The sequence below is a fragment of the Homo sapiens genome, chromosome 3, assembly GCF_000001405.40.
Source record: "Homo sapiens chromosome 3, GRCh38.p14 Primary Assembly".
Classification (NCBI taxonomy): domain Eukaryota; kingdom Metazoa; phylum Chordata; class Mammalia; order Primates; family Hominidae; genus Homo; species Homo sapiens.
Window position 1 is genome coordinate 170,047,016 of NC_000003.12, and position 24,413 is coordinate 170,071,428.

The following is a 24,413-nucleotide window of genomic DNA, read 5'->3' on the forward strand; positions in this document are numbered from 1 at the left end:
AGTGATTCCCCTCCAAGCAGCAGGGCAGAGGTCTCCCCTGTCGACAGCCCTTGCCTGGTCCCCTTCAGCAGGGGGCAGTGGGAGGAAGAGAGGCAGTAGGCTTTGGATTCTCCCTCCTGCCCCAGGTGCAGACCCAAAGCTTCAGAGTCCATCCTACCTTCACCTAACCCTTCGTCCTTCTCCTGCACTCCAGCCAGGTGTTTCAGTGTGTAGTCTGTACCTGCCACACCCTCACCGCATCCCCCCAAGCCTGCACTGTCCTGTTCACCGCAAGGTTTTCTCTTCTTCCTATGGCCTCAGCTACTTTCCATTGCTGCCCTTGCCTCCTGATCCTGCCTGCCTTCAACTTTACTGTATTCTGAAAGGTTTAAAGGGAAAAGTCTTTTATGACCCACAATCCAAGGATCTGAAGGCATTGACATTTGGGTATATTTCCTTTTTATTTTGTTTTACTTTGTTTTTTTATAAATTTAAAAAATTTTAACATTTTATAAACAATTCATTTTATGTTAGAATTTTAACATAGTTGCTATACTTTGATTAAAATTTATCATTATGACGATATCAAAAAGACACCTGCATGCATATGTTTATCATAGCACAATTCACAATTGCAAAGATATGGAATCAACCTAAGTGTCCATCAACCAATGAGTGGATAAAGAATATGTGATATATGTATATACACATCACATATACACATACATATATACACATCACATATACACATACACAACACACCATGGAATACTGCTCAGCTATAAAAAGAACAAAATAATGTCTTTTGCAGCAACTTGGATGGAACTGAAGGACATTATTCTTTTTTTTTTTTTTTTTTTTGAGATGAAGTCTTGCTCAGTCACCCAAGCTGGAATGCAGTGGCCCAATGTCGGCTCACTGCAACCTCCACCTCCCAGGTTCAAGCGATTCTCCCACCTCAGCCTCCCGAGTAGCTGGGATTGCAGGCATCAGCCATCATGTCCAGGTAATTTTTGTAGCGACAGGGTTTCACCACGTTGGCCAGGCTGGTCTCGAACTCCTGACCTCAGGTGATCCACCCGCCTTGGCCTCCCAAAGTGCTGGGATTACAGGCGTGAGCCACCATGCCCATGAAGGCCATTATTCTAAGTGAAGTAACTCAGGAATCGAAAACGAAATGCCATATGTTCTCACTTGTAAGTAAGTGGAAGCTAAGCTATGGGTACACAGAGGCATGCAGAGTGATATAATGGACTATGGAGACTCAGAAGGGCAGGATGGGAAGGGGATGAGGGATGAAAAACAACCTATTAGGTACAATGTACACTACCTGGGTGATGAGTACTCTAAAATCCTAGACTTTACCACTGTACAGTTCATCTATGTAACCAAAACCCACTTGTACACCTAAAGCTATTAAAAAATTTTTTTTAAATAAAAAATCATTGTATTCCCCTATGTCTTTATAAATGTTTTTAATGACTGCATGCTATTTTAGGCTTTTTTAGCCATTCTTTTAAAATATTAGAGAACTAAGTTGTTGCTCATTTTTTGATGTTGTACATCATTCCAATTTGAATGCACATAAACCTTGGATCCCATTTCACATTATTTGAGATGGATTCCTGTAAAAATAAGTACTGAGTCAAAGGTTTTCAACATTGGAAAGTTTTCTTTCTTATCACAAAAGCAACAGATTTGTATTGTGGAAGATACAGGACAGTGTAAAAAGTAAACATGTACCTCTATTCTCACCAACCAGTTGCTGTTTGTGTCGCCGGGTTCTCCCCCTCCAGGACAAATGTCCTCTTCAGGCTTGCTCCATGCGTGGCCTGTCGGCTGGCAGCATGGCATCACCTGGGAGCTTGTTAGAAATGCAAAAGCTCAGGCCTGCCCCAGACATTGAATCAGAATCTGTCTTTTAACAAGATCTATATTCAAGTTTCGGAAGTCTTAGTCCCTGAGGCCACCACCTTACCAGTCACGGTGGGCTGGCATTAATTACCTCTGATCTGTGAATATACGTACATTTTTCCTATTTCCCTGATACTGGGATGTACCACTGTGTCTACCACTGGTTTGCACCCTCCTGTCTCCCTTAACGTAAGACCGTGTAAGGACAAGAGCAGGCTCCCCTCAGTAACACCGGTTCAGGGATCAGCAGGATCTCATCTCATCCCCCTATGAGAAGCCCTGCTACACACAGCTTTATCTTGTATCTGTCATTTAACATTATATTGTCAGCATTTTCCTGTTATTTAGTTTTTCTCTCAAGTTTATCTTTCATGGCTGCAGGTGGTAATCCATCTTATGACTGTCTGATAATTCATTTGACTCATTCCCTATTGTTAGACATTAAGTTGTTTTGATTCTTTTGGGGACTGGGGAGGGTATACTGTGGGCTATTATAAGTATGCCAAAGTGAACTGCTTCCGCAGTAATTATTTCCCTCAACCCAGATTATTTCCTTATGACAAGTTACCAGAGTGCAGACACTGGGTCAAAAGGCATGAACGTTTTAAACCCTCCTTAAAATGCCGCAGGAGTATACAAAGTGCCCTGACATGGTGCCCTCCCAGACACTGGGTAGTGTGGTCTGTAGACAGACTCCAGGGAGCAGGGTCATGCCTCATTCGCATCACGCCTCCAGGGCTGGTGTAGAGCCAACTCTGAGGGTCACTCTAAGGGGACCTGGGGGAATGGAAAGGAAGTGACGGAAGGATGGGCAAGCTGCCTGTGGTGGTGGTGCTCCTTTCCTCCTGGCCTGAGTCCTGAGTCACAGTAGATGTCACTGACCAGGCAGCAGCCTTCCTCAGGGTGTGTCCACAAAGTTTAGCCTTTCCTCCCGGCACCCGTCTTCCAGTGGCTTGGGAGCTGGAGCAGGTGGTGGAGGCCTGAAATGACTACTTGGTGAGTCTGGAATGTGCCGGACCTGATTGCTGCCAAGCTTGTTTTTGCTTCACGAGTCTGAGACTGTTGGGTTCTCTAATACTTTTTTCCTCTCACCAGCAGACCAGGAACCTGATATTAAGTAAACTTTATTCTAAAAGGTACACTCAGACAATTCCTTTTTTTTTTTTTTGACACTGAGTTTCACTCTTGTTGACCAGGCTGGAGTGCAATGGTGCGTTCTCGGCTCACTGCAACCTCCACCTCCCAGGTTTAAGTGATTCTCCTGCCTCAGCCTCTCGAGTAGCTGGGATTACAGGTGCCTGCCACCATGCCCGCCTAATTTACTTCTTCTTCTTTTTTTTTTTGTTGTTGTTGAGATGGAGTTTCGCTCTTGTTGCCCAGGCTGGAGTGCACTGGTGCGATCTCAGCTCACTGCAACCTCCACCTCCCAGGTTCAAGTGATTCTCCTGCCTTGGCCTCCCGGGTAGCTGGGATTACAGGCACCTGCCACCATGCTTAGCTAATTTTTTTTTTTTTTTGAGACGGAGTTTTGCTCTTGTTGTCCAGGCTGGAGTACAATGGTGCAATCTGCTCACCATAACCTCCACCTGCCAGGTTCAAGTAATTCTCCTGCCTCAGCCTCCCAAGCAGCTGGGATTACAGGCATGCACCACCACGCCCACCTAATTTTTTTGTTGGTCAGGCTGGTCTCTCTGCCAGTATACAATCAGTTCCCACCTGTAGCCCCAGATAGCCATTGAACTTCTTTCTGTCTCTTGCCTTGTCTGGGAAATTTCAAATAAGAGGAATCTTGGGATATGTAGTTTTATGTGTCAGGCATCTCTCACTTAGCACAACATTTTTGAGGTTCATCCATGTTGCAGCATGTATCAGTAGTTTGTTCCTTTGTATTGCTGAGTAGCATACAGTTTTATAAATGTACTGCATTTTATTTATCCACTCACCAGTTGATGAACATTTGAATTGTTCCCAGGGCTTGGCTATTATGAATAATGTTGCTATAAACGAGGTAATGTTGCTATCTACAAGTGTTAGTATGGACCTTATTTGTATTTCTCTTGAGTAGATTTGTAGGGGTATAATTGCGGAGTCATGTGGTAAGTTTATGTTTAACTTTTTAAGAAACTGCCAAACTATTTTCCAAAAGCGGCTGTGCAATGTTAGAGTCCCACTAACAGTGTATGAGGATTCTCTACATTCTTGCCAACATTTGAAATTGTTAGTCGTTCTTATTATAGATATTCCAAAGGGTATATAATGGTGTCTCATTGGCAGTTTTAATTTGCATTTCCCTAATGACTAATGCTGTTGAGTTCCTTTTCATGTGCTTATTAGTTACTTATATGTCTTCTTTTTTATTGGATATTTGATCTATATTGATATCAATATAGATCTATATCATCTTTGATGACACGTCTAGTTACATCTTTTGCCCCATTTTAAAACTGGATTATTTCTCACCATCCTCTTATTGAGGTTCAAGAATTTTAAGGTATATATCTGGATGCAAATTCTTTATCAAATATATGGTTTGGGGCTGGGTGCAGTGGCTCACACCTGTAATCTCAGCACTTTGGGAGGCCAAGGCCAGCAGATCACCTGAGATCAGGAGTTCAAGATCAGCCTGGCCAACATGGCGAAACCCCGCCTCTACTAAAAATACAAAAATTAGCTGGGCGCGGTGGCATGCGCCTGTAATCCCAGCTACTCAGGAGGCTGAGGCACAAGAATTACTTGAACCTGGGAGGCGGAGGTTGCAGTGACCCAGGATCGTACCACTGCACTCCAGCTTGGGAGAGAGAACGAAACTCTGTCTCAAAAAATAAAAAAATAAAAAACAAATAAATAGTTTGAAAATATTTTCCCCAGACCCATGACTTTTTCCCTAATGGTGCCTTTTAAAGAAAAAAAAAGTTTTAAATTTTGATGAAGCCTAAGTTGTTGATTTCTTTTATGGTTTGTGTTTTTAATCTTATATCTAATAAGTACTTGCTGAACCTTATACAAGTCTTGTGGACATGTTTTGTTATGTTTTTGAGATGGAGTCTCACTCTGTCACCCAGGCTGGAGTGCAGTGGCGCATTCTCGGCTCACTGCAACCTCCACCTCCCAGGCTCCAGTGATTCCCCTGCCTCAGCCTCCTAAGTAGCTGGGATTACAGGTGCACGCCACCATGCTCAGCTAATTTTTGTATTTTTAGGAGAGACGTGGTTTCACCATGTCGACCAGGTTGATCTCGAACTCCTGACCTCAAGTGATCCGCCCACCTTGGCCTTCCAAAGTACTGGGATTATAGGCGTGAGCCTCTGCACTTGGCCGACCTGTTTTAATTACTCCTAGGTAAATATCTAGTAGTAGAAGTACTGGATCATAGGATAAGCCTATGTTGAAATGCCACACTATTTTCCAAGGGGATACACCATTTTACACCTCAAACAGCAGCGTATAGGAGTTCTCGTTACTCTACATCTTTTCCAATATTTGGTATTGTTGGTCTTTCTGATTTTAGTCATTCTGATGGATGTGAAATTGTATGTCATTGTCATTTTAATTAGCTTTATCCTGATAACTAATGATGTTGAGTACCTTTTTGTTTGCTATTGGCCATTTGTACATATTCTTTTTGGAGTGTCTTTTTAAGTATTTTGCCCATTTTTGTTTGAGTAGTTTGACTTTTTGTTATTCATTTGTAGGCACTCTTTATATATGTGGTCTGGTAGTCTGGGCACAAGTCTTTTGTTAGATAGATGTGTTGTAAGCATTTTCTCCCAGTCTGTAATTGCCTTTTCATTTTCTTATGATGAACAGAAGAATCTAATTTTAATGAGTTCACTTTATCAATTTTTTTTCTATTTGGTGCTTTTTGTGTTTTGCTTGAGAATTCTTTACTCTAAGGTTGCAAACATATTCTCCTTTGTTTTCCTTGTAGAGTCTTACCTTTTATAGCTATGCTTGTGATCTCTCCTGAGTTAATTTCTGTTAATGGTGTGAAGTGGAGTTAAGGTCCTTTTTTTTTCATACGGTTATCCAGTTAGTCCAGCACAGTGTGTTGAAAAGACTTTCCTTTCCTCCATTGAATTGCATTGGTACTTTCTTATAAATCAAGTGGACTGGTTTGAACTCTTAAGCTCATTGTCTTGAGTTCTATAATTTATAAGTCTTGAAATCAGGTAGTGTAAGTCGTCCAACTTTGTTATTGGCTATTCTAACCCTTTGTATTTTCATATATATTTTAGCATCAGCTTGTGAATATCTTTAAAAAAGAAAAAGGCCTGGTTGGATTTTGATCAGAACTACATTGAATCAACTAATCTGGGGAGGATTGACATGTTAATAATATTAATCTTCTTATCCATGAACATGGCATATCTCTGTTAAGGTCTTTAGGTTTTTTTGGCAGTGTTTTGTAGCTTTTAGCATTGACATTTTATAAATATTTATACAAATTTATTCTTATTTTATGTTTTTGAGTCTATTGGAAATGATATATTTTCCTTCATTTTTGAATTTTGTTGCTATATATAGCAATGTGGTTTTAAAAATTGACCTGTGATCTTAACTAAATTCATTTATTAATTCCAGTAGATTTTTTGTAAGTACCTTAGGATTATCAATATACATAAATGCCATCTACAAATAGTTTTATCTTATCCTTTCTAGTCTGTATGCCTTTCTTTTATTTTCTCGCCTTACTGAATGGGCTAGGATATCCTAAAATGTTGAGTAGATGTAGTAAGGACAGATATCCTTACCTTGTTTCCAATTTTAGGGGTAAAGTGGTCAGTCTTTCACACTTAAGTATAATGATAGCTATAGATTTTTCATAGATGTTCCTTATCAGGTTGAGGAAACCATCAGTTTCCTACTTTGCTGAGAGGTTTTTATCATGAATGGTTGTTGAATTTTTTCCAAAGATTTTTCTGCATCTCTCAAGATGGTCATATGCTTGTTTTCTGTATTCAGTAATGTGAATATATTTATTTTTCATCTGTTGGCACTTTCTCTTCACCTCAAATTAGGGAAAAGACCACAGTTACCCATTTTGGTTTTTTGTTTTTTTTTTTAATTACTCAGCTTTAACACTTGAATATCTTGGCATTTGTGCATGGAATATTAGTTCAGGAACATGATTTAGACAATTTGAATCAGACAATTTCCATAAAATATTTTATAAACTAAAAAGCAGCGTTTGTGTGTGTGTGTGTGTATGTGTGTGTAGAGTTATTTGGCTTGAGAGCCCTGCCTGCCCAACAAACTTATCTTAAACTCTCATCATTATTAGTCTCATGCTTAAAAAAAAAAAAGTATCATTTAAGTGAAGACTTCAGGCAGTTGAGGGAGCAAGCTACATGAGTATAAGAAAGAAGACCATCCCAGGCAGAATGGTCTTCTGAAGCACAAGTTCAAAGGCCCTGAGGTCCCAGAGGTATCCAGAAAACTGTCTCTTCAAAATTGCTTTTGCCTGACATTGAAGCAGACAGCAGGGGCTAAGAAAACATCACCACCTTCTGGCAGAATAGAAGGACTGAGCTGCTCAGGTCAAATCATTATAGTAAAATATACCTAAAATTTACCATCTTAACCATTTTTAAGTGTACAGGTCAATGGCACTAAGTACATTCACATTGTTGAGCAACTGATACTGCTATCTACGCATCTTCAGAACTTTTTCATCCTGTGCTGAAAACCTGCACCCATTAAACAGTAACTCCTCATTCTTCCCTTCTCCTAGCTCCTGGCTACTGTTTACTTTTTGTCTATGAATTTGATTATTCTAGGTACCTCATATATATGGGATCATATGATATTTGTCATCTTCTGTCTGCTTATTCACTTAGTGTAATGTCTTACGGGTTCTTCCACCTTCAGCATGTATCAGAATTTCTTTTCTTTTTTTTTTTTTTGAGACGAAGTCTTGCTCTGTCACCCGGGGTGGAATGCAGTGGCCCGATCTTGGCTCACTGCAACCTCTGCCTCCCAAATTCAAGTGATTCTCCTGCCTCAGCCTCCCTAGTAGCTGGGATTACCGCCATCTGCTACCATGCCCAGCTACTTTTTGTATTTTTAGTAGAGACAGGGTTTCACCATGTTGGCCAGGCTGGTCTCGAACTCCTGACCACAGGTGACCCATCTGCCTTGGCCTCCCAAAGTATTGGGATTATAGGCATAAGCCACCGTGCCCGGCCAGGATTTCATTTCCTTTTAAGACTGAATAATATTCTACTGTATGGATATAAAGTCGTTCTTAGGAGATGTGTATGTTATATTTCTGAATCCTGAGAATGGAAACAAAACAGGTAGAATGGTAGTGGGGCAAGCTGGCGTAGGTCTGGGATACTGTTACCAAAGACTTATAGGAGAACTGGACCCCGGCTGATTGGGTCCTGACATCACACCTGACAATGTGATGGTGAAAAAAGGATCTCCCTTAGGTGGTTGTTCTGGTTCAGTTTCTCAGCAATGATGAATAACCGTGGTTTCAGAAACCATGAACAACTAAGCATGAAGAATGTCATAACCTCTCTGGTGGTTGAGTCATACAAGGAGCCACATTCAGAAGCCCGGGATGGAGAGTGGGGTCTCAGGGACTATTGAGCACAGATTTCTGATTGCTACTTTCCAGATCATTGTATGCTTAGGCCGTTTATTTTGATGAAGAAAGCAAGACTAAAGGACATGATAATCATTGAGAACCAGGAGGCAATCTCTAGTTCAGATGTTCTTTTAAAAACTTTTTTTTTTTTTGAGACGGAGTCTCGCTCTGTCCCCCAGGCTGGAGTGCAGTGGCGCGATCCCGGCTCACTGTAAGCTCCGCCTCCCGGGTTCACGCCATTCTCCTGCCTCAGCCTCCTGAGTAGCTGGGACTGCAGGTGTCTGCCACAACGCCTGTCTAATTTTTTGTATTTTTAGTAGAGGCGGGGTTTCACCGTGTTAGCCAGGATGGTCTCGATCTCCTCACTTCGTGATCCGCCCATCTCGGCCTCCCAAAGTGCTGGGATTACAGGCGTGAGCCACTGCGCCCGGCCTTAAAAACTCTTTTTAAACCTCTTCTGTGAGCATGTTTGCTAAGCGGTCAGCCCATAAGTATCTGAACAACTGTTCTTATAATCCTTTGTTGCTCTTATTAATCCCATTCCTATATTGTTGATTTTTTTTAAGATATATTTTCTATTTGTTGATGTTGTTCTTAAAACTCAGTACCTGAATGACTAGTACAAGGTATGCAACTCCTTTCTCTTTAATTCTGAACCTTATACTTGTATTACTTATCTGTTCCCACCAAAATGATGACGAGGTGAATATATGTGTAGAATTTGCAGTCAATAAAATACAGTCACATTGTAAGGGAAGTTTATGTGAAAATATACATCACCAGAATACTAATTTACAAGCAAACATAAGGCATTGAGTAAAAATTCATGGTAGCTTTATAGAAAAATGAATTGTGTCAGTGTAACCTGATTTGTTTTCAAGAACATTTTACGGATCTGGAGGAAGCAGGGGACATAATCTTAACTTTCTCATGCTATTGATTTCATTATGAATGACATAATCAATAACAGCCCGGGGAAACAGGTTAGCTCACATGATACCACAGTTAGACGGTGGGAAGGTAACACAGAGACATTATCAAGGATATGGTTCCAGTGTGGGATAAGTCATCATTTAACCTTTTAGAGGTCAGTCTGGGAACCATTCTGTTTAATCAGTTTTAATCCATAACTGGTGGCATATTAGTGTATATGTTTGTATGCGAGAAATACTAGAAACAGAAGTCAAAATAACCTGCATTAATGGGGTACCGTATTTATAAAATACTGGACAGAATCACGTGAAGGCTAATTAATTTTGTAAGTAAGAGGTTCAAATTGGAGAATGATTGGCACTGTGCCTATTTTTGGCAGAAAAAGCCTATGGGCCATGGTGAATCACAAGGTAGTTGAACCATCACAGTAACTATAATGTGGGTATATGCAGAATACCACATTTCATACATCAGTGCTCTAGTTAATACTTGTATGAGACTGAAAGTAGGCAAATGATACAGTGAAGTCATTTCATAACTGGCAATACCAAGACTTCTCAGAACTATGTTTAGCTTGAGTGCATACTATGTAAAGAGGGTCTTACAAAATGTATACCGGAGCCACAGGAGAGCAAAACAATTATTTAAGTGATGACATCTGGTCAAGATGGCACAGGAGTTCAGGCTCCAAACACCTAGCAAAGGTAGTTATAATATAAAAAGGGTAACCAAATAAGTATAGTTGGGCTATAGTCATTCTAGTTACCTAGAATGTAAGTTGAAATACAAAGGGGTAAGCAGGCTCAAGCTGCAGGCCTCTCCAGCAGGGGCAACCAGAAACTCAGGTTTTTTAGAATAAGGGGATATAGCTTTGTGCAGTGGCCATTTCATAGCCAGTGAAGTTTATCTGAGGCACTTGCTAATTGAAAACTTTTCTCAATACCCTGCCATGATGAAATATGGTTGGCACTGGCAATTTTTGAGACTCTATGGAGACTGAACTTAACATTAAAAACAAATTAAAAAATGAAAAGATAGGGATGTAAAAGTATCCACATGAGCTGATACCAAGGAGTTGGAGCCAGGCTCCAGGGAATGTAAATTGGGAGAATAACTAAGTTTCTTCCATACCTCTAAGAAACATTGGCAACACTGAAATCAGAGACTGCAGTGCCCTCCCTCCCAAACCTAAGAAGGAAGGCTGGAAAAGATGGCTTACCTGGAAGGAATGGGCTTCTGGAAGTTTCAGAGACAAAGACACAGCTTCAGAACCAGAAGCTGAGCCATGCTGCTTTCTTGGCCCAGGGCCTGGATCCGCAGTATCGCTGATACCACAACTGAGCAGGAACACCAAGTGGCATTTTGAGACCTGGTTTGGAAGAAGTCCTGAGAGGCCAGGTGGAGGGACTGAAAGCTGCCTGGGAAGGGAGAGAGGAGGGAAAGATACAGCAATCGAAAACTCCTACTGAAAGTAAGCTTGCAAAGCAAAACTTTAAAATACATGAAGACATAGATATGGAGTTCAAAATTTGTTCAAGCAAGACACGAATTTACTAAAAGTGAAATTAGCAGTTGGAATTCCTGGAAATGACAATAAAGTAAGTATGTTTAGAATTCTTACGATGAATGAAGTCTTGCAGTAGATAAAAATTATGAAGTAGAAGCAAGGGGGAGGGATAGGAAAAAGAACCAGTTAGAACAGTTTTGTATTAAGTCAAGTGGGCTAAAATGCTTTAAAAAGACCAAAAATGCAATGGATCAAATCCAGTACGAGCTTACTTCTCTCGTGTAGCAGGCCTGGGTGGGTATTTCAGGCCACTGGGTGGCTGTACCCTCAGGGACCCAGCTGACGGCACCCATATGGGTTTCAGAATTGCCCTGCTTTCCCACAGGAAGTGGGTGGGTGGGGAATAAGCTAGGCCAGAAATGGTCTTCCTCATGTCTGCTCACGCCCCACCGGCCATACCTAACTTCTGGGGAGCCTGGGAAACAGGTCAGCCACGTGCCTGGGAAAAAGAAGGGAAGATAAAATGGAGAATAAGTTTCTGCCATACCTCTAAGAAACAGTGGTTACATTGACAACAGATTTCTCATCAGCAATAGAATTGAAAACACAAGAGAGTATTATCTTCAACTTAGAATTCAATACTAGTTAAACCGTCATTCAAAAATGATGATCAGCAGTCCCTATGAAGGAAAAATTGGCAATATCTAACAAAATTATGTAAGCATTCACCCTTTGACCTAATGGCCTCACTTCTAGTAATTATTCCAGAGGAAACACCTCCACAAAATAGCAAAGAATATGTACAGAAGGTTGTTCATCGCTACATTATTTGCAGATAGAACAAATTTGGAAACAACCTTTATGTCCACTCATAGAACTCTGGCTGAATAAGCTATAGTATATCTACATAATGCAGCCATAAAAACAATTTTTAAAAAATTAAAAAGGAAGATAGCTATTAACAAAGATGAAATGCTTTCTAGGATGTTTTAAGGGGCAATAAAGAGTCACAAAAAGTATATCTAATGTGCTACCTTGTATTTAAGATGGAAAGGGAAATAACCACACATGTACACACACACATGCACAAACACACACACACACACACACACACACACACTTATTTTTGCAGAAAGATGCACAGGAACTATAAACCAGAAATAAATGATAGGGGGTGGGTGGATATTAGTGGAGGAAATAAGTATGGAAATGAGACTTTTCTGAGCGTACCTTTTTATATAGTTTTGATTTTGAGCCATGTAAATATTTTACATATTCAATTATATAAAATTAAAATGAACTAAAAATAATGAAAACAAAGGAAATCCTGTCATTGAATATACAAAGAGAAACTAATAATCAAAACACTATATCAAATTGATTACATAAATACAAAGAAGAGAATTCAGATAACTTTATAACAGAGTACTCAGACTGTATAAGCTTAGTGGAATATAGTCAAGGGACAAAAAGAATGGAAAAAATTAGGCTTTATTTACCTGGTTAATTGTTGGGCAATGCTATCAGTGTAGTAACTCTGAAACTGCTTAATATGTATTGTAGTTTGAACAAATGAATCAATATACTAATGTCATTGGGAACCAGGTTCTTTTTTGTTGTTAATTTCTTCATTGAAATTCTGTATTCAATCACAGGAGTTGGAGTCTGCTTCCTGCTGGGACCCTTCCTGATCCTTTAAGTTAATCTCTAATTTGCTATTAGTGTGGCTTCCTGCCCTTTTTTTTCTTCAGCTTTTAAGTTCAGGGGTACATGTGCAGGATGGGGAGGTTTGTTACACAGGGAAACGGGTGCCATGGTGGTTTGCTGTACAGATTATCCCATCACCTAGGCATTAAGCCCAGCATCCATTAGCTGTTTTTCCTGATGCTTTTCTTCCCCCCACTCCCCCCTCTAGCAGGCCCAAGTGTGTGGTGTTTCCCACCATGTGTCCACGTGGGAACCAGATTCTTGCTGTGGGAGATGATCTTTCAAGTATGTATTTCACTATTTCACAAATACTGAAATAAGGTGAGGAAGACTCCTGAGATGGTAGCTTTGCATTGGAGGTATCAGTGTGCCACCCAGATTCTAGTTTTAAAATACCATATTTTCCTAAAAAAAACAGGGCTCCTTGAAAAAAAATGACCAGAAGTACAACGTGCCAAAGCGGGCATGTGCTCAGCAACTGGGATGGCAAAAGATACATATGGGAGCCAGCCTGAAGGAACCCTGACAAGATGATTTGGAAAATTTTAAGCATTCAAAAGAAGAATGATGGCAGTGAATTATAACACATTTAATAAAAATAAATCAATGAATCTATAATGTATTTCCAGAAACAACTGCCAGCTCATGAAAGCAGAATGAATCTTAGAATTAGAAAATTACTATTTTACAACTCCCAGTGTGGTGATTAATTCAGGCAAGGATAATAAACGGATGCTAAAACTATCAGGTGAAACTTTGTTATGCAACGGATTGGTCTAACAGTCTCAAAGTATTAATTACAAAGGGAAAAGGTCCTCTACAACAGTAAAATGGACGAGGCGAGGTGGCTCATGCCTATAATCCCACCACTTTGGGAGGCCTAGGAGGGATAATTGCTTGAGGCTAGGAGTTCAAGACCAGCCTGGGCAACAGCAAGACCCCATCTCTACAAAACAGTATTTTAAAAAAAAATTAACTGGGCATGGTGGTGCACACCTCTATAGTCCTAGCTACTCAGGAGGCTGCGGTGGGAAGATCACTTGAGCCCAGGAGTTCTAGGTTACAGTGAGCTATGACTGTACTACTGCACTCCAGCTTCAGCAACACAGTGAGACCCTGTCTCAAAATAATACTAATAATAAAAAGAAAAAGAAATATGGCAAACACCTCCTTAATCAAGTGACCTAACATCACATGACCAGTAATGAGACATGACATAATGGGATATATCATCTAGATAGTTTTCTTGCCAGAAATGTTTAATATTGAGAAAACAATTAGACAAATCGAGATTATGTGATATTTTACAAGATAACTGACCTGGACTCTTCAAAAATGTCAGTATTGCCGGGCACGGTGGCTCACACCTGTAATCCCAGCACTTTGGGAGGCCCAGGAGGGTGGATTGCTTGAAGTCAGGAGTTCAAGACCAGCCTGACCAACATGGTGAAACCACATCTCTACTAATAATACAAAAATTAGCCAGGCGTGGTGGCAGGCACCTGTAATCCCAGCTACTCGGGAGGCTGAGGCAGGAGAATCGCTTGAACCTGGGAGGCAGAGGTTGCAGTGAGCCGATATGGCGCCACTGCACTCCAGCCTGGGTGACAGAGTGAGACTCTGTCTCAAAAAAAAAAAAAAGAAAGATAAAAAACAACAACAACAACAAATTATCCAAAATTAAAAGAGACTAACAAGACATGACAAATATGTGATCCTTGATTGGATTTTGTATTAAAAAAAACTCTAACAACATTGGGACAGTTTTAATATGGACTATGTATTAGATACTATACCATTTAATTTAATTTCATTAAATTAATATTTATGGGACAGTTTTAATTAATGGGACAGTTTTAATATGGACTATGTATTAAATACTATATAATTTGATTTCATAGATAAAATGATGGTATCATAGTTATGAAAATGGCTATCCGATTATAAGATAAATCATCATAGGAAAAATGGGAAAATATCGAGATAAAATGAAGTCTTATAAGACCACACTAAGATAACCATCATTAACACTTTGGTATATTTCCATCTCATCTACATATATTTAAACAAAATTGAATTGTACTCTACATGGTTTTTTATGTTCCTTCTGCTTGTTCCATATTATAATTATTGGCAAGTCTCCATTAAATAGTCCTCAAAGATATTCTTTTAAATGGTTATATACTATCTCTGTACATTTTCTTATTTTTAAATTTCAAGGCCATGCGCAGTGGCTCCTGCCTGGAATCCCAGCACTTTGGGAGGCGGAGGTGGGAGCATCGCTTGAGGCCGGCAGTTTGAGACCAGCCTGGGCAACATAGGGAGACCCCATCTCTATGATTTTAAAATAAATAAATAAAAATTAAATTCCAAGTTTTTTTATTTTATAAGGTCTATTTTACAATATTTTATTCAATCAACATGCCATCCATTGTAAGACATCATTATTTTATGTGTCACTAAAAAGAAAATTTTCCTGAGGTGGGTGTGTCGGGCCCTACTGGGCCTAGCGGCAGGAGGGGGACATCGGCTCCCACCACAGCCCTCCAAACAGCTCTGCGCTCTGAGCGCCCCCTCCCCAGGGTCCCCCTCTCCAGGCAGGAAGATGTCCAAGTCCCGTGCGGCGGAGGCAGCAGCGGGGGTGACAGCGACGGCCCCGAGCCCGCAGATAGTGGAGCAGAGGGGTCCAGGGAGGCGCTGCACCGACGTTGGGGAGAATGTATGTCCTGGCAATCAAAGATCTTTTCCTCCGTGAGCCTAACAAATGCTCTGGAATGTGTTCCAGCCTTCAGGAGGAGAACTCCGTTACACGTCACGAAGTCAAATGCCAGGGGAAACCATTAGCTGGAATCCACAGGAAAAGAATGCAACACGGAGCACGAAGCCCAAGCACAGAAGATCAAAGACGCCAGGAGAGGACCCCTCGCACCTTTTCCAAACCAAAAATGTGAAGCAGCAGAACTTCCAAAACCTCCGGCCTCGTCTTGTGATTCCACCAATGCAGCCATCGCCAAGCAAGCCTTGAAATAGCCCATCAAGGGCAAACAGGCCCCCGAAAAAAAGCTCAAGGAAAAGTCGCAAACTCACGGATTTCTACCCTGTCCCAAGGAGCTCCAGGAAGGGCAAAGCGGAGCTGCAATTTGAAGAAAGGGAAAGAATAGATGAATTGGTTGAAAGCGGAAAGGAAAGAAGGAGTGAAGACTGACCTCATCAATGACAAAGGCCGGGTGTGAACACCAGAGGGAGCTCTCCCGGGGCGCCTTTGTGGTAGAAAAGCACCGGAGCCTCACGGAGATCACCGACGCCACGGGACCCCTCCATGGTGGATCTCCGTGGATCTCCACAGTAAGCCGAGATCGCGCCACCGCACTCCATCCTGGGAGGCAGAGGGAGACTCCAGCTCAAAATAAGTAGATGACTGAATGAATGAATGAACGAATGAATGAATGAATGGATGTTACAGGTTTCCAAGGTGGACTTAAACAGATGGCTTTATATTACCAAAACTTTTACATTCTAGTTGTTTTTGTGCCTTTTTTTTTTTTTTTAATACAGGTTGAACGTTTTGTGCTTCCCATGCATGCAGTCAAAAACTCAGCACACAGGCCAGGCGCGGTGGCTCACACCTGTAATCCCAGCACTTTGGGAGGCCGAAGCGGGTGGATCACTTGAGGTCAGGAGATTGAGACCAGCCTGGCAAACATGGTGAAACCCCGTCTCTACTAAAAATACAAAAATTAGCCGGGCGTGGTGGTGCATGCCTGTAATCCCAGCCACTGGGGAGGCTGAGGCAGGAGAATCGCTTGAACCCAGGAGGTGGAGGTTGCGGTGAGCCGAGATCCCGCCATTGCACTCCAGCCTGGGTGACAGAGTGAGACCATGTCTCAAAAACAAACAAAAAAAGCAAAAAAAAAAAAAAAAAAAAAACCTCAGCACAGGATTAGAGCCAAACGTGAACTAGGAAGCCGCGCGAGTCTCCTCTCTCCGGTGGAAGAGCTGGGACGTGTCCCCCACACCGCGACGAGGTATGAGGAAGACGCTGTCTCCCAAAGGCCTGGACGGGATGGCTCCAAGCTCTTGTTCTCCTAACATCTGGACAGGCGCTCTTTGAAGTGTATGAATATATTTTTAAAAGATTGGGCAGTAAGCTTGTCTTCCCCGTGCTTTCTCGAAAGCTTACTGAGCTCGTGGCCCTGAGCGCGGGCCGGCATAGATTTCCTCTTCCACCCGCTGCGGCTTTTCTGAGCACCTGGAAGCATCGGGGTGTGAAGTCAAACCAGACGTGGGTGAGGAGAGTGTGGCTTGCCTTCCCTGCCGGGCAGAATTTCCTGAAACTGGGCTAATTCTTTGTAGAAATGTGAACGCTGAATTTATTAAAAAATAATAATAAAACACAGGAAACAACTTACATGTACATAGGTCTTGAAGTGAGTGAAGCGGCTGTATTTTTTTGGGGGGGGCATTGCTTTTGTTTTTGTAGAAGAGATTGAGATGATACTCTATTCTAATCAAAATTAGAGATTTGTAGTGGGACCAGAAATTACGTACTTAATACCCCTGCCAGTTTTCCCCGCGTCCTGCTGGGTTGAAAGTTCCAGAGCTGCCGTCTAGGCCTCGTGTTTGTCAGACACCCACGGCTCCTGCGAGGTCGCAGCCATGAGCTGGCGGGGGTGAGTACACAAGCCCAGATCCCCCAACCCGAACTGCGGCTGCCAGCCTCAGAGAAAGGCGCCCAGGTGTGCGGGCAGGGCCGAGACCCCCGGGAATCTAAGATAGGCCAAGGTTTTCACCTAGACTGTCAAGGCTGGAGGAGTAGGTGGCGGCCTCGACCCTCCCTACACGGGACCCATTCTTTTCTTTTCTTTTCTTTTTTTTTTTTTTTTTTTTTTGAGGCAGAGTCTCACTCTGTCGCCCAGGCTGGAGTACAGTGGCACAATCTCGGCTCGCTGCAATCTCCACCTCCCGCGTTAAAGCGATTCTTCTGCCTCAGCCTCCTGAGTAGCTGGGACTACAGGCACATGCCACCGCGCCTGGCTAATTTTTTGTATTTTTAGTAGAGACGGGGTTTCACCATGTTGGCCAGGCTGGTCTCAAACTCCTGATCTCGTCATCCGCCCGCCTCGGCCTTCCAAAGTGCTGGGATTACAGGCGTGAACCACCGCACCCAGCTATGCAGGACCCATTCTTACTGAGTGAGACTCGGGAGTCATGACCTGGTGTCTCCTGCCCACCCTGGTCCCAGGTAAATCTGAATGGAAGCAGGTATGAGAGCCTGTCCTCGCCTTTGATTCCCCCACCCCACCCTGGGCCTCACAACGGTGCTACCTAAGAAAGTCTCTTCCCCCAGTCAGCCTGGTGAGTGGTCAGCCGAAGAGGATCTGACGGGAGTGTAGATGTGAGATAGTATCTTTGTTGTACCTGTTTGTGGTTTAGCTTTGTATTTAAACAAATGAGGAAATAAACTTGAAAATTATTTGTCATCATAAAGTTGAAACAAAAATTATTTTAAAAAATAAAGTTTTATTTTAAAATAAAATAGCTAATGAGTATCGTACATTACAATTACATTTCCTTTCTAAACTTTTTTGTTTTCCTTTCAGTTATCTGTCTGCTTTTTTTTCTATATACTTATCGCTAATTCAACCACAGACTCTTCTCTTTTGTGTAAATCTTTTGGTATGTTCAAAGATATTTGGAATTTCCACCTTCCTGGAGGAATTTCTCCCATAGCCATGTGCCCTACTCTAATTTAGATTGTGCACTCTGGATCTGATGCCTAGATAATCTTCACCAACCTCGGAATCCTCGAATTGTACTCTACATGGTTTTTCTTCTCTTCTAATGCATCCCATTTCCTGGACCGCATGTATTGCTCTCCTAGTTTATTATTCCTCATTCTGATGACGTATGCCTTTCTTTCATTGGCTTCCTAAGAACTTCATGTGAGTAAAACATTTTTGAGTATGTGGCTTCATTTTATACCTACACTTAATTGACCATTTAGTTTGGTGTAGAATTCTATGTTGGAAAGTTTCTTTCATGAAATATTAAAAAGCTTTTTAAAGTAAACTAAATACTTAAATTATTTGTGTAATTGAGAATTGTACCAATTTGTAGATAACTTGTTTTTTTCCTTACTCAATGTGTTTAATTTTTTGAATACTTAATACAGTCACATGTTTAGCAGAATGTTCATAGTAGGAAAAAAAATGTACTGAAGTCTTCATCTCATTCATGACCCCATCTGCCAAGTTCCTACCCCTGTAACCACTGTCTTTAACTTTTTTTTTTAAGAGATGGGGTCTCGCTATGTTGCCCAGACTATACTCAAACTACTGGGTTCAAGCAATCCTCCTGCCTCAGCCTCCTGAGTAGCTGGGATATAGGCATGCACACATGCCCAGTGCTCACTTTTTAAGTGTCCTTCCAGGGTTTCTTCATGTATATATAGAAGATTACTTGACACTATTCTTTTTCTTTTTCTTTTTTTTTTTTTTTTTTTTTTTTTTTTGTGACAGAGCCTCGCTCTGTCACCCAGGCTGGAGTCCAGTGGCACGATCTCGGCTCCCTGCAAGCTCTGCCTCCCGGGTTCACGCCATTCTCCTGCCTCAGCCTCCCGAGTAGCTGGGACTACAGGCGCCCATCACCACGCCCGGCTAATTTTTGGTATTTTTAGTAGAGACGGGTTTCACCATGTTAGCCAGGATGGTCTCAATCTCCTGACCTCATGATTCGCCCGCCTCGGCCTCCCAAAGTGCTGGGATTACAGGTGTGAGCCACCGCGCCTGGCCATTTCTCCCCTTTTCAAATGCAAATCATGTGTATTTCTTGCTCTATTCTGTGTCTTGCTTTTCCCCTTAACAATGTGTCTTGGAGACATGTCCATATCATTACATGGAGAGTTCCTCATTTTTAAAAGAGAGCTGCATAGTATTGCACTGGATAGATGTGCCATAATCTACTTAATGGTTCTCTATTGGCGGACATTTAAGTTTAAAGTAAGTTGTTTAAGTTATAATGTAGTTTCCAGTCTTTTGTTATTTTAAACAATGCCTCCATGAATACTCTTATAAACACCTACTTTTGCACACATGCAAGTAAATTTATAGGATAAATCCTTAGGAGAGGAGTTTTTGGCTCACAGGACATATATGTATGTTTGTAATTTTGATAAATATTACCAGGTTGCCATTTGTAGGAGTTGCTCCAGTTATATTCTTCAGCCCCACCAGATAAATAGGTTAAGATACCTATTTATTCCACAGCCTCACTAGAGATACTGTGTGGACAAATTTTGGGGTTTTGCCTATCCTTTATGAGGTAAACAGTGTAGTTTAAATTTCTATTTTTTCTTTTATACTTCTTAATTAATTTTTTGAGACAGTCATTCTCTGTTGCCCAGGCTGGAGTGCAGTGGTGCAATCACAGCTCACTGCAGCCTCAACCTCCTGGGCTCAAGCAGTCCTCCCGCCTCAACCTCCCAAGTAGCTGGGACTACAGGCATAGGCCACCATGCCCAGCTAAGTTTTGTGTTTTTAGTAGAGACAGGATATTGCCATGTTTCCCAGGCTGGTCTTGAACTCCTGGACTCAAACGATCCTTCTGCCTCAGCCTCCCAAAGTGCTGGGATTACAAGCGTGAGCCGTCGTGCCAGGCCTGTTTTTTTAAGAGTGATGCTGATCCTTCTTTCATATGTTTAAGAGCCCATTTATCCTCTTTTGTGAATTATCTCTTCAAATCCTTTGTTCATTTTACTATTTCAATATTGGGATTTTGATCTTTTTCTTGTTTGATTTCCAGGAGCTCTTTATAAATTAGGTTAATATTTTACCATTTTTTTTCTTCTAGTTTGATCAGTCCCTTAGAATTGAAGGCATCTCTGGCTTCCAGTGTTTCCAAAAAGCCTGACCCCCATTCCCATGTCACCACCTCTCAGGTAAAGAGCAGGAACTTTGCTCCAATAGGCCCCTTCCATGTGACCTCTGCAATCACAGTCCCTCGCTTCCCCCAAAATAACTTCACTTTTACAGTCATCAGCACTTCTTTGCATTTAGAAGTTTTACCACCCAAATGCATATCTTTAGAGACTCCAATTTAGTCTTACCTTTAAAAAAAAAAGTTATCTGGGATGTGTTTTTTTACTCTCTAAATTACTTCTCCATTTTTCCCCTTTGTTTTTCTCTTGAAGAACTGGACTCCTTGACCAATAGGGTTTTCCACAGTGTGAGTCTTGCTAATTGCATGCTCATGATTCAGCTCAGTATATCCCTCAATCCTCTATTTCTTGCAAACTGGCAGCTGGATTCAGAGATTTAATGAAACTCAGGTTTGCCATATAGGAGGCACAAAATGTCTGGTTGTCTCTCCTGTTGAGATGATGGTAGGTACAGGTGCTAAAATGTCTACGTGGGTGGTGGGTTGGGGAGAAGTTGTTGCAAGATGGTGGAATTCTAAGTCTAAATTTTACGTTTCATTTATAAGTTGAAACACTCTTTATTTTTATTTATTTATTTTTTGAAACGGAGTCTTGCTCTGTCACCCAGCTGGAGTGCAGTGGTGTGATCTCGGCTCACTGCAACCTCTGCCTCCCAGGTTCAAGCTATTCTCCTGCCTCAGCCTCCTGAGTAGCTGGTATTACAGGCGTGCACCACCATGCCCCACTAATTATTTTTCTTTTTTGTATTTTTAGTAGAGATTGGGTTTTTCCATGTTGGCCAGGCTGGTCTCAAACTCCTGACCTCAAGTGATCCACCCACTTTGGCCTCCCAGAGTGCTGGGATTACAGGTGTGAGCCACTGCACTTGGCTCATTATTGCCTTTTCTTGAGTTCTTCCCCTCCAGTTTGCTCTCTTTCTGTGACTCCTGTTATTCAGAGTTTGCACCTGTTGGATTGGTCCTCCATGTTTCTTAACTATTTCTCTTTTTATTTCACTTTTTCTAGGAAATTTCCCAAACATTATTTTCCAACTCTCTGTTTACCTTACTACTTCTGCCATCATATTTTATTTTCCAAGAGGTCTTTTTTGTTTTCTGTTGTTATTATAAATAGCCTCCTCTTCTTGTATGGATGCAATATTTTCTCCCTGAAAACAATGAGTTTTTAAATAGCTTTCTTCTATCTAGCATTGTGTCTATTTCCTCCAAGTTGTCTTTTTTCTGCTTGTGGATTTGTTTAACTTTCAATACTAGAGATTTTCTTTGAATGTCTGAGGATCTTTGGATGTCCAGTCATATTTATAAGTAGGGCAGTATCTAGGCTGTTTCTTCAGGGAAGATTCAATGTAGTATCTTTAGATATTTCTTCCTGGGCTGATGCCTAGAGAGAACTGTTTGAGTCTTTATATCTTGTAATAATAGTATTCCTGAAATCCAACTGTAAAAAGGCTGGAGAGGTCTCAACTTCCGCTATATGTATTTTTATGCAGTCTCCCTGTTATCAGTATGATGCTCCTCTAATCCTCAACTCTGCCTACCGTCCAAAGATTGTTTTATCTTCCCCAGAGGGGAAAACCTCATTCTTACTCCGCAGTTGGAGAGGGAGTCATTTGCTGCACTGAGTCAGGGAAGAGATCTGGGGACCTAACTGCTTATTTCATTTGCAACGAATCTATCTGTTTTTATCCCCATCTTTGCATCCCTTTCTGAAGACACTTGGGTCAGCCACTCTTGAGATTTTTGAGGGTCCTGAGGTATAAATTGGGTTGCGACTCTGCTTTCTCCACTGCTAGCTTCAGTCTGTATTCACTGTATGTGATTCACCTGAGGATTTATTAAAACTGCAGATTGGTTTCATAGATCTGAGCTGGAGCCTGAGGGTCTATGTGAATAGCAGTCTCCTAGGTGATGCTTGGACCACACTTTGTGTAGATGGGGCTCACTCATTTACCGTCCATCTGTTCATTTTCCAGCCTCTGAAATTTTGTCCTTGGAGATTTGTACATTTTTTTTAAAGTTATGAAAATTTTCAAACATACATACAAATAGTTAGAACAGCCATTAACCAGTGGTCGATCCTGCCCCATCTATACTTTCATCCACTCGACCCCCAGCACACACACTGCATTATGTTGGCGCAAATTCCAGACAACCTATTTCATCTGTAAATATTTTAGTATGTATTATTTTAAATAGTGAGATTTAAATATAACCACACATATTAATTTGTTAGGGCTGCCATAACAAACCACCACAGGCTGGGTGGCTGAAACAACAGCTCTGGGGGCTGAAAGGGTGAGATCGAGGTGTCCCAGGGGCGGTTTCTCCTGGGGCCTTTTGCAGCCTGTAGATGGCTGTCTTCTCGCTGTGCCCTCCCACAGCCTTTTCTCTGTGTACCAGCATCCCTAGTATCATGTGTGTGTGTCCAAATTACCTCTTTAAAGGTCCTATCTCCAAATATAGTCACATTTGGAGGTGCTGGGAGTTAAAGGCTTCAACATATGAATTTGGGGGGATATAATTCAGCCCATCATACCATAATTTCCCATTGTCTTATATATGTAATTCTTTGTTGCCATGAATTCAGATAAATTCTACACATTGCACTTAGTTGATATATCCTAAGTCTTAATTTTTGTATTGTTGTTGAAACAATTTATTGAAGTAACAAATTGTAATCCTATAGAGCATACCACCATGTGGATTTTCTTTACTGCATCCTGTGGGGTCATTAAATAAGTTATTGTCCTCTTTCTTGAACATCAGTAGTTGAATCTACAGGTTTGGTCGGGTTCTAATTTTTTGGCAAGCCCACTTTGTAGATAGCAAGGTACTCTTCAATTTCCACCTTTCAGTATTAGTATTGATGATCTTTGGCTACCTCCATTTAGTACATCAGAGGTGGCAAATTGGGCAGTTTCCAAATTTTATCATTCCTTATTCACTCATATTAGCTAGAGTACTTCCAAAAAAAGTAAACATCACCTCACTTACTATTCTGTCACCAGGTGGTACAGTTAGCACAGGAACGGCAGGAGAAAGGCTTCTTGGCCAGTACTTAAGTTTAACAACTAGAGACTAGGTTCTCTAGTGTTCCTCAGCATCACAATGAGGTTTTCTTATTCATTTTAGAATCTGGTAAAACTTGATTTACTGTTATGTTAGTGGAGTTATGAGAAGGAACATTTGTTTAAAGAAGGCACTGTTCATTGGAAGTTATAATTTATGTAGCCAATTTCCTGCTATTGGAGATTTACATTAATTCCAGGTTTTTACTTTTATATTTAATGCTGTGAGATGAATATTCTTTAAAAATAAGTTAAAACACTCATTTTTAGTGTATAATTTGAATTTTGAAAAATGTATATACTTGGACCCCAATCCAGATGTAGAACATTTTCATCTCTACAGAACATTGCCTGGTTCACCTTTGCCCCAGCCTGGCTTCAGATTTCTACCGATAGTCTCTCTGGCCATAGGGATTCGTTTTTCTGTTGTGAATCCCATATAATTGAACCACACACTCTATACCCTTTATTGCTAGGCTCTTTTTGTTCGGCATGTGATATGGTTTAGATATGTGTCCCCTCCAAATCTCATGTTAAAATGTGCTCTCCCATGTTGGAGATGGGGCCTGTTAGGAGGTATCTGGATCATGGGGGCAGATCCCTCATGAACGGCTTGGCACCGTCCCCTTGGTGGTAAGTGAGCTCTCCCTATGAGTTCACGCAAGAGCTGGTCATTTAAAAGCATGTGGGGCCTCCCCCTTCTCTCTGGCTCCTGCTCTCGCCATGTGAGATGCCTGTTCCCCTTTTGCCTTCCGCCATGGTTGTAAACTTCCTGAGG

At 41.4% G+C, this 24,413-nt stretch overlaps 1 protein-coding gene, 1 long non-coding RNA gene and 2 pseudogenes across 9 annotated transcripts in view, besides 8 other annotated features; 3 read left to right on the forward strand and 1 right to left on the reverse strand.

The window, feature by feature from the left end:
* GPR160 (G protein-coupled receptor 160) overlaps positions 1–24,413 on the forward strand; it is a 47,398-nt gene that overhangs the window by 9,021 nt on the left and 13,964 nt on the right. The window contains exon 1 of one of the 7 annotated variants that reach the window (XM_005247347.5): positions 2,846–2,889. The exons of the other annotated variants lie outside the window; for them this stretch is intronic. The gene's annotated coding sequence lies outside the window, so the exon portion shown is untranslated. Of the gene's footprint in view, positions 1–2,845; positions 2,890–24,413 lie in introns of those variants that run through there. 7 annotated transcript variants of the gene reach the window in all.
* Positions 422–13,974, reverse strand: LOC124909455 (uncharacterized). 2 transcript variants are annotated; one of them, XR_007096156.1, is made up of 3 exons: positions 11,198–13,974; positions 10,638–10,836; positions 422–1,843 (listed from the first exon to the last, which is right to left on the reverse strand). It is a non-coding gene; the product is annotated as an uncharacterized LOC124909455 (long non-coding RNA). The 2 variants fall into 2 exon arrangements; XR_007096155.1 differs by lacking the exon at positions 11,198–13,974 and having other exon boundaries at positions 10,638–10,885.
* Positions 8,046–8,185: an enhancer, noted in NCBI's record as "active region_20795". NCBI's record gives its function as "activates an Ori minimal core promoter by ATAC-STARR-seq in GM12878 lymphoblastoid cells {active_cell/tissue: GM12878}" and the evidence as "EXISTENCE:reporter gene assay evidence [ECO:0000049][PMID:35858748]".
* Positions 8,516–8,575: an enhancer, noted in NCBI's record as "active region_20796". NCBI's record gives its function as "activates an Ori minimal core promoter by ATAC-STARR-seq in GM12878 lymphoblastoid cells {active_cell/tissue: GM12878}" and the evidence as "EXISTENCE:reporter gene assay evidence [ECO:0000049][PMID:35858748]".
* Positions 8,606–8,655: an enhancer, noted in NCBI's record as "active region_20797". NCBI's record gives its function as "activates an Ori minimal core promoter by ATAC-STARR-seq in GM12878 lymphoblastoid cells {active_cell/tissue: GM12878}" and the evidence as "EXISTENCE:reporter gene assay evidence [ECO:0000049][PMID:35858748]".
* Positions 8,796–9,295: an enhancer, noted in NCBI's record as "H3K4me1 hESC enhancer chr3:169773599-169774098 (GRCh37/hg19 assembly coordinates)". NCBI's record gives its function as "activates a minimal SCP1, AML or CMV promoter by ChIP-STARR-seq in primed H9 embryonic stem cells {active_cell/tissue: H9 hESC(primed)}" and the evidence as "EXISTENCE:reporter gene assay evidence [ECO:0000049][PMID:30033119]".
* Positions 10,107–10,326: an enhancer, noted in NCBI's record as "active region_20798". NCBI's record gives its function as "activates an Ori minimal core promoter by ATAC-STARR-seq in GM12878 lymphoblastoid cells {active_cell/tissue: GM12878}" and the evidence as "EXISTENCE:reporter gene assay evidence [ECO:0000049][PMID:35858748]".
* RNU4-38P (RNA, U4 small nuclear 38, pseudogene) lies at positions 10,286–10,414 on the forward strand (annotated as a pseudogene).
* Positions 14,717–15,238: an enhancer, noted in NCBI's record as "H3K4me1 hESC enhancer chr3:169779520-169780041 (GRCh37/hg19 assembly coordinates)". NCBI's record gives its function as "activates a minimal SCP1, AML or CMV promoter by ChIP-STARR-seq in naive H9 embryonic stem cells {active_cell/tissue: H9 hESC(naive)}" and the evidence as "EXISTENCE:reporter gene assay evidence [ECO:0000049][PMID:30033119]".
* On the forward strand, positions 15,228–15,941 carry KMT5AP3 (KMT5A pseudogene 3; annotated as a pseudogene).
* Positions 15,239–15,759: an enhancer, noted in NCBI's record as "H3K4me1 hESC enhancer chr3:169780042-169780562 (GRCh37/hg19 assembly coordinates)". NCBI's record gives its function as "activates a minimal SCP1, AML or CMV promoter by ChIP-STARR-seq in naive H9 embryonic stem cells {active_cell/tissue: H9 hESC(naive)}" and the evidence as "EXISTENCE:reporter gene assay evidence [ECO:0000049][PMID:30033119]".
* Positions 22,053–22,253: a silencer, noted in NCBI's record as "peak4913 fragment used in MPRA reporter construct". NCBI's record gives its function as "represses an SCP1 promoter by STARR-seq MPRAs in K562 erythroleukemia cells {active_cell/tissue: K562}" and the evidence as "EXISTENCE:reporter gene assay evidence [ECO:0000049][PMID:32103011]".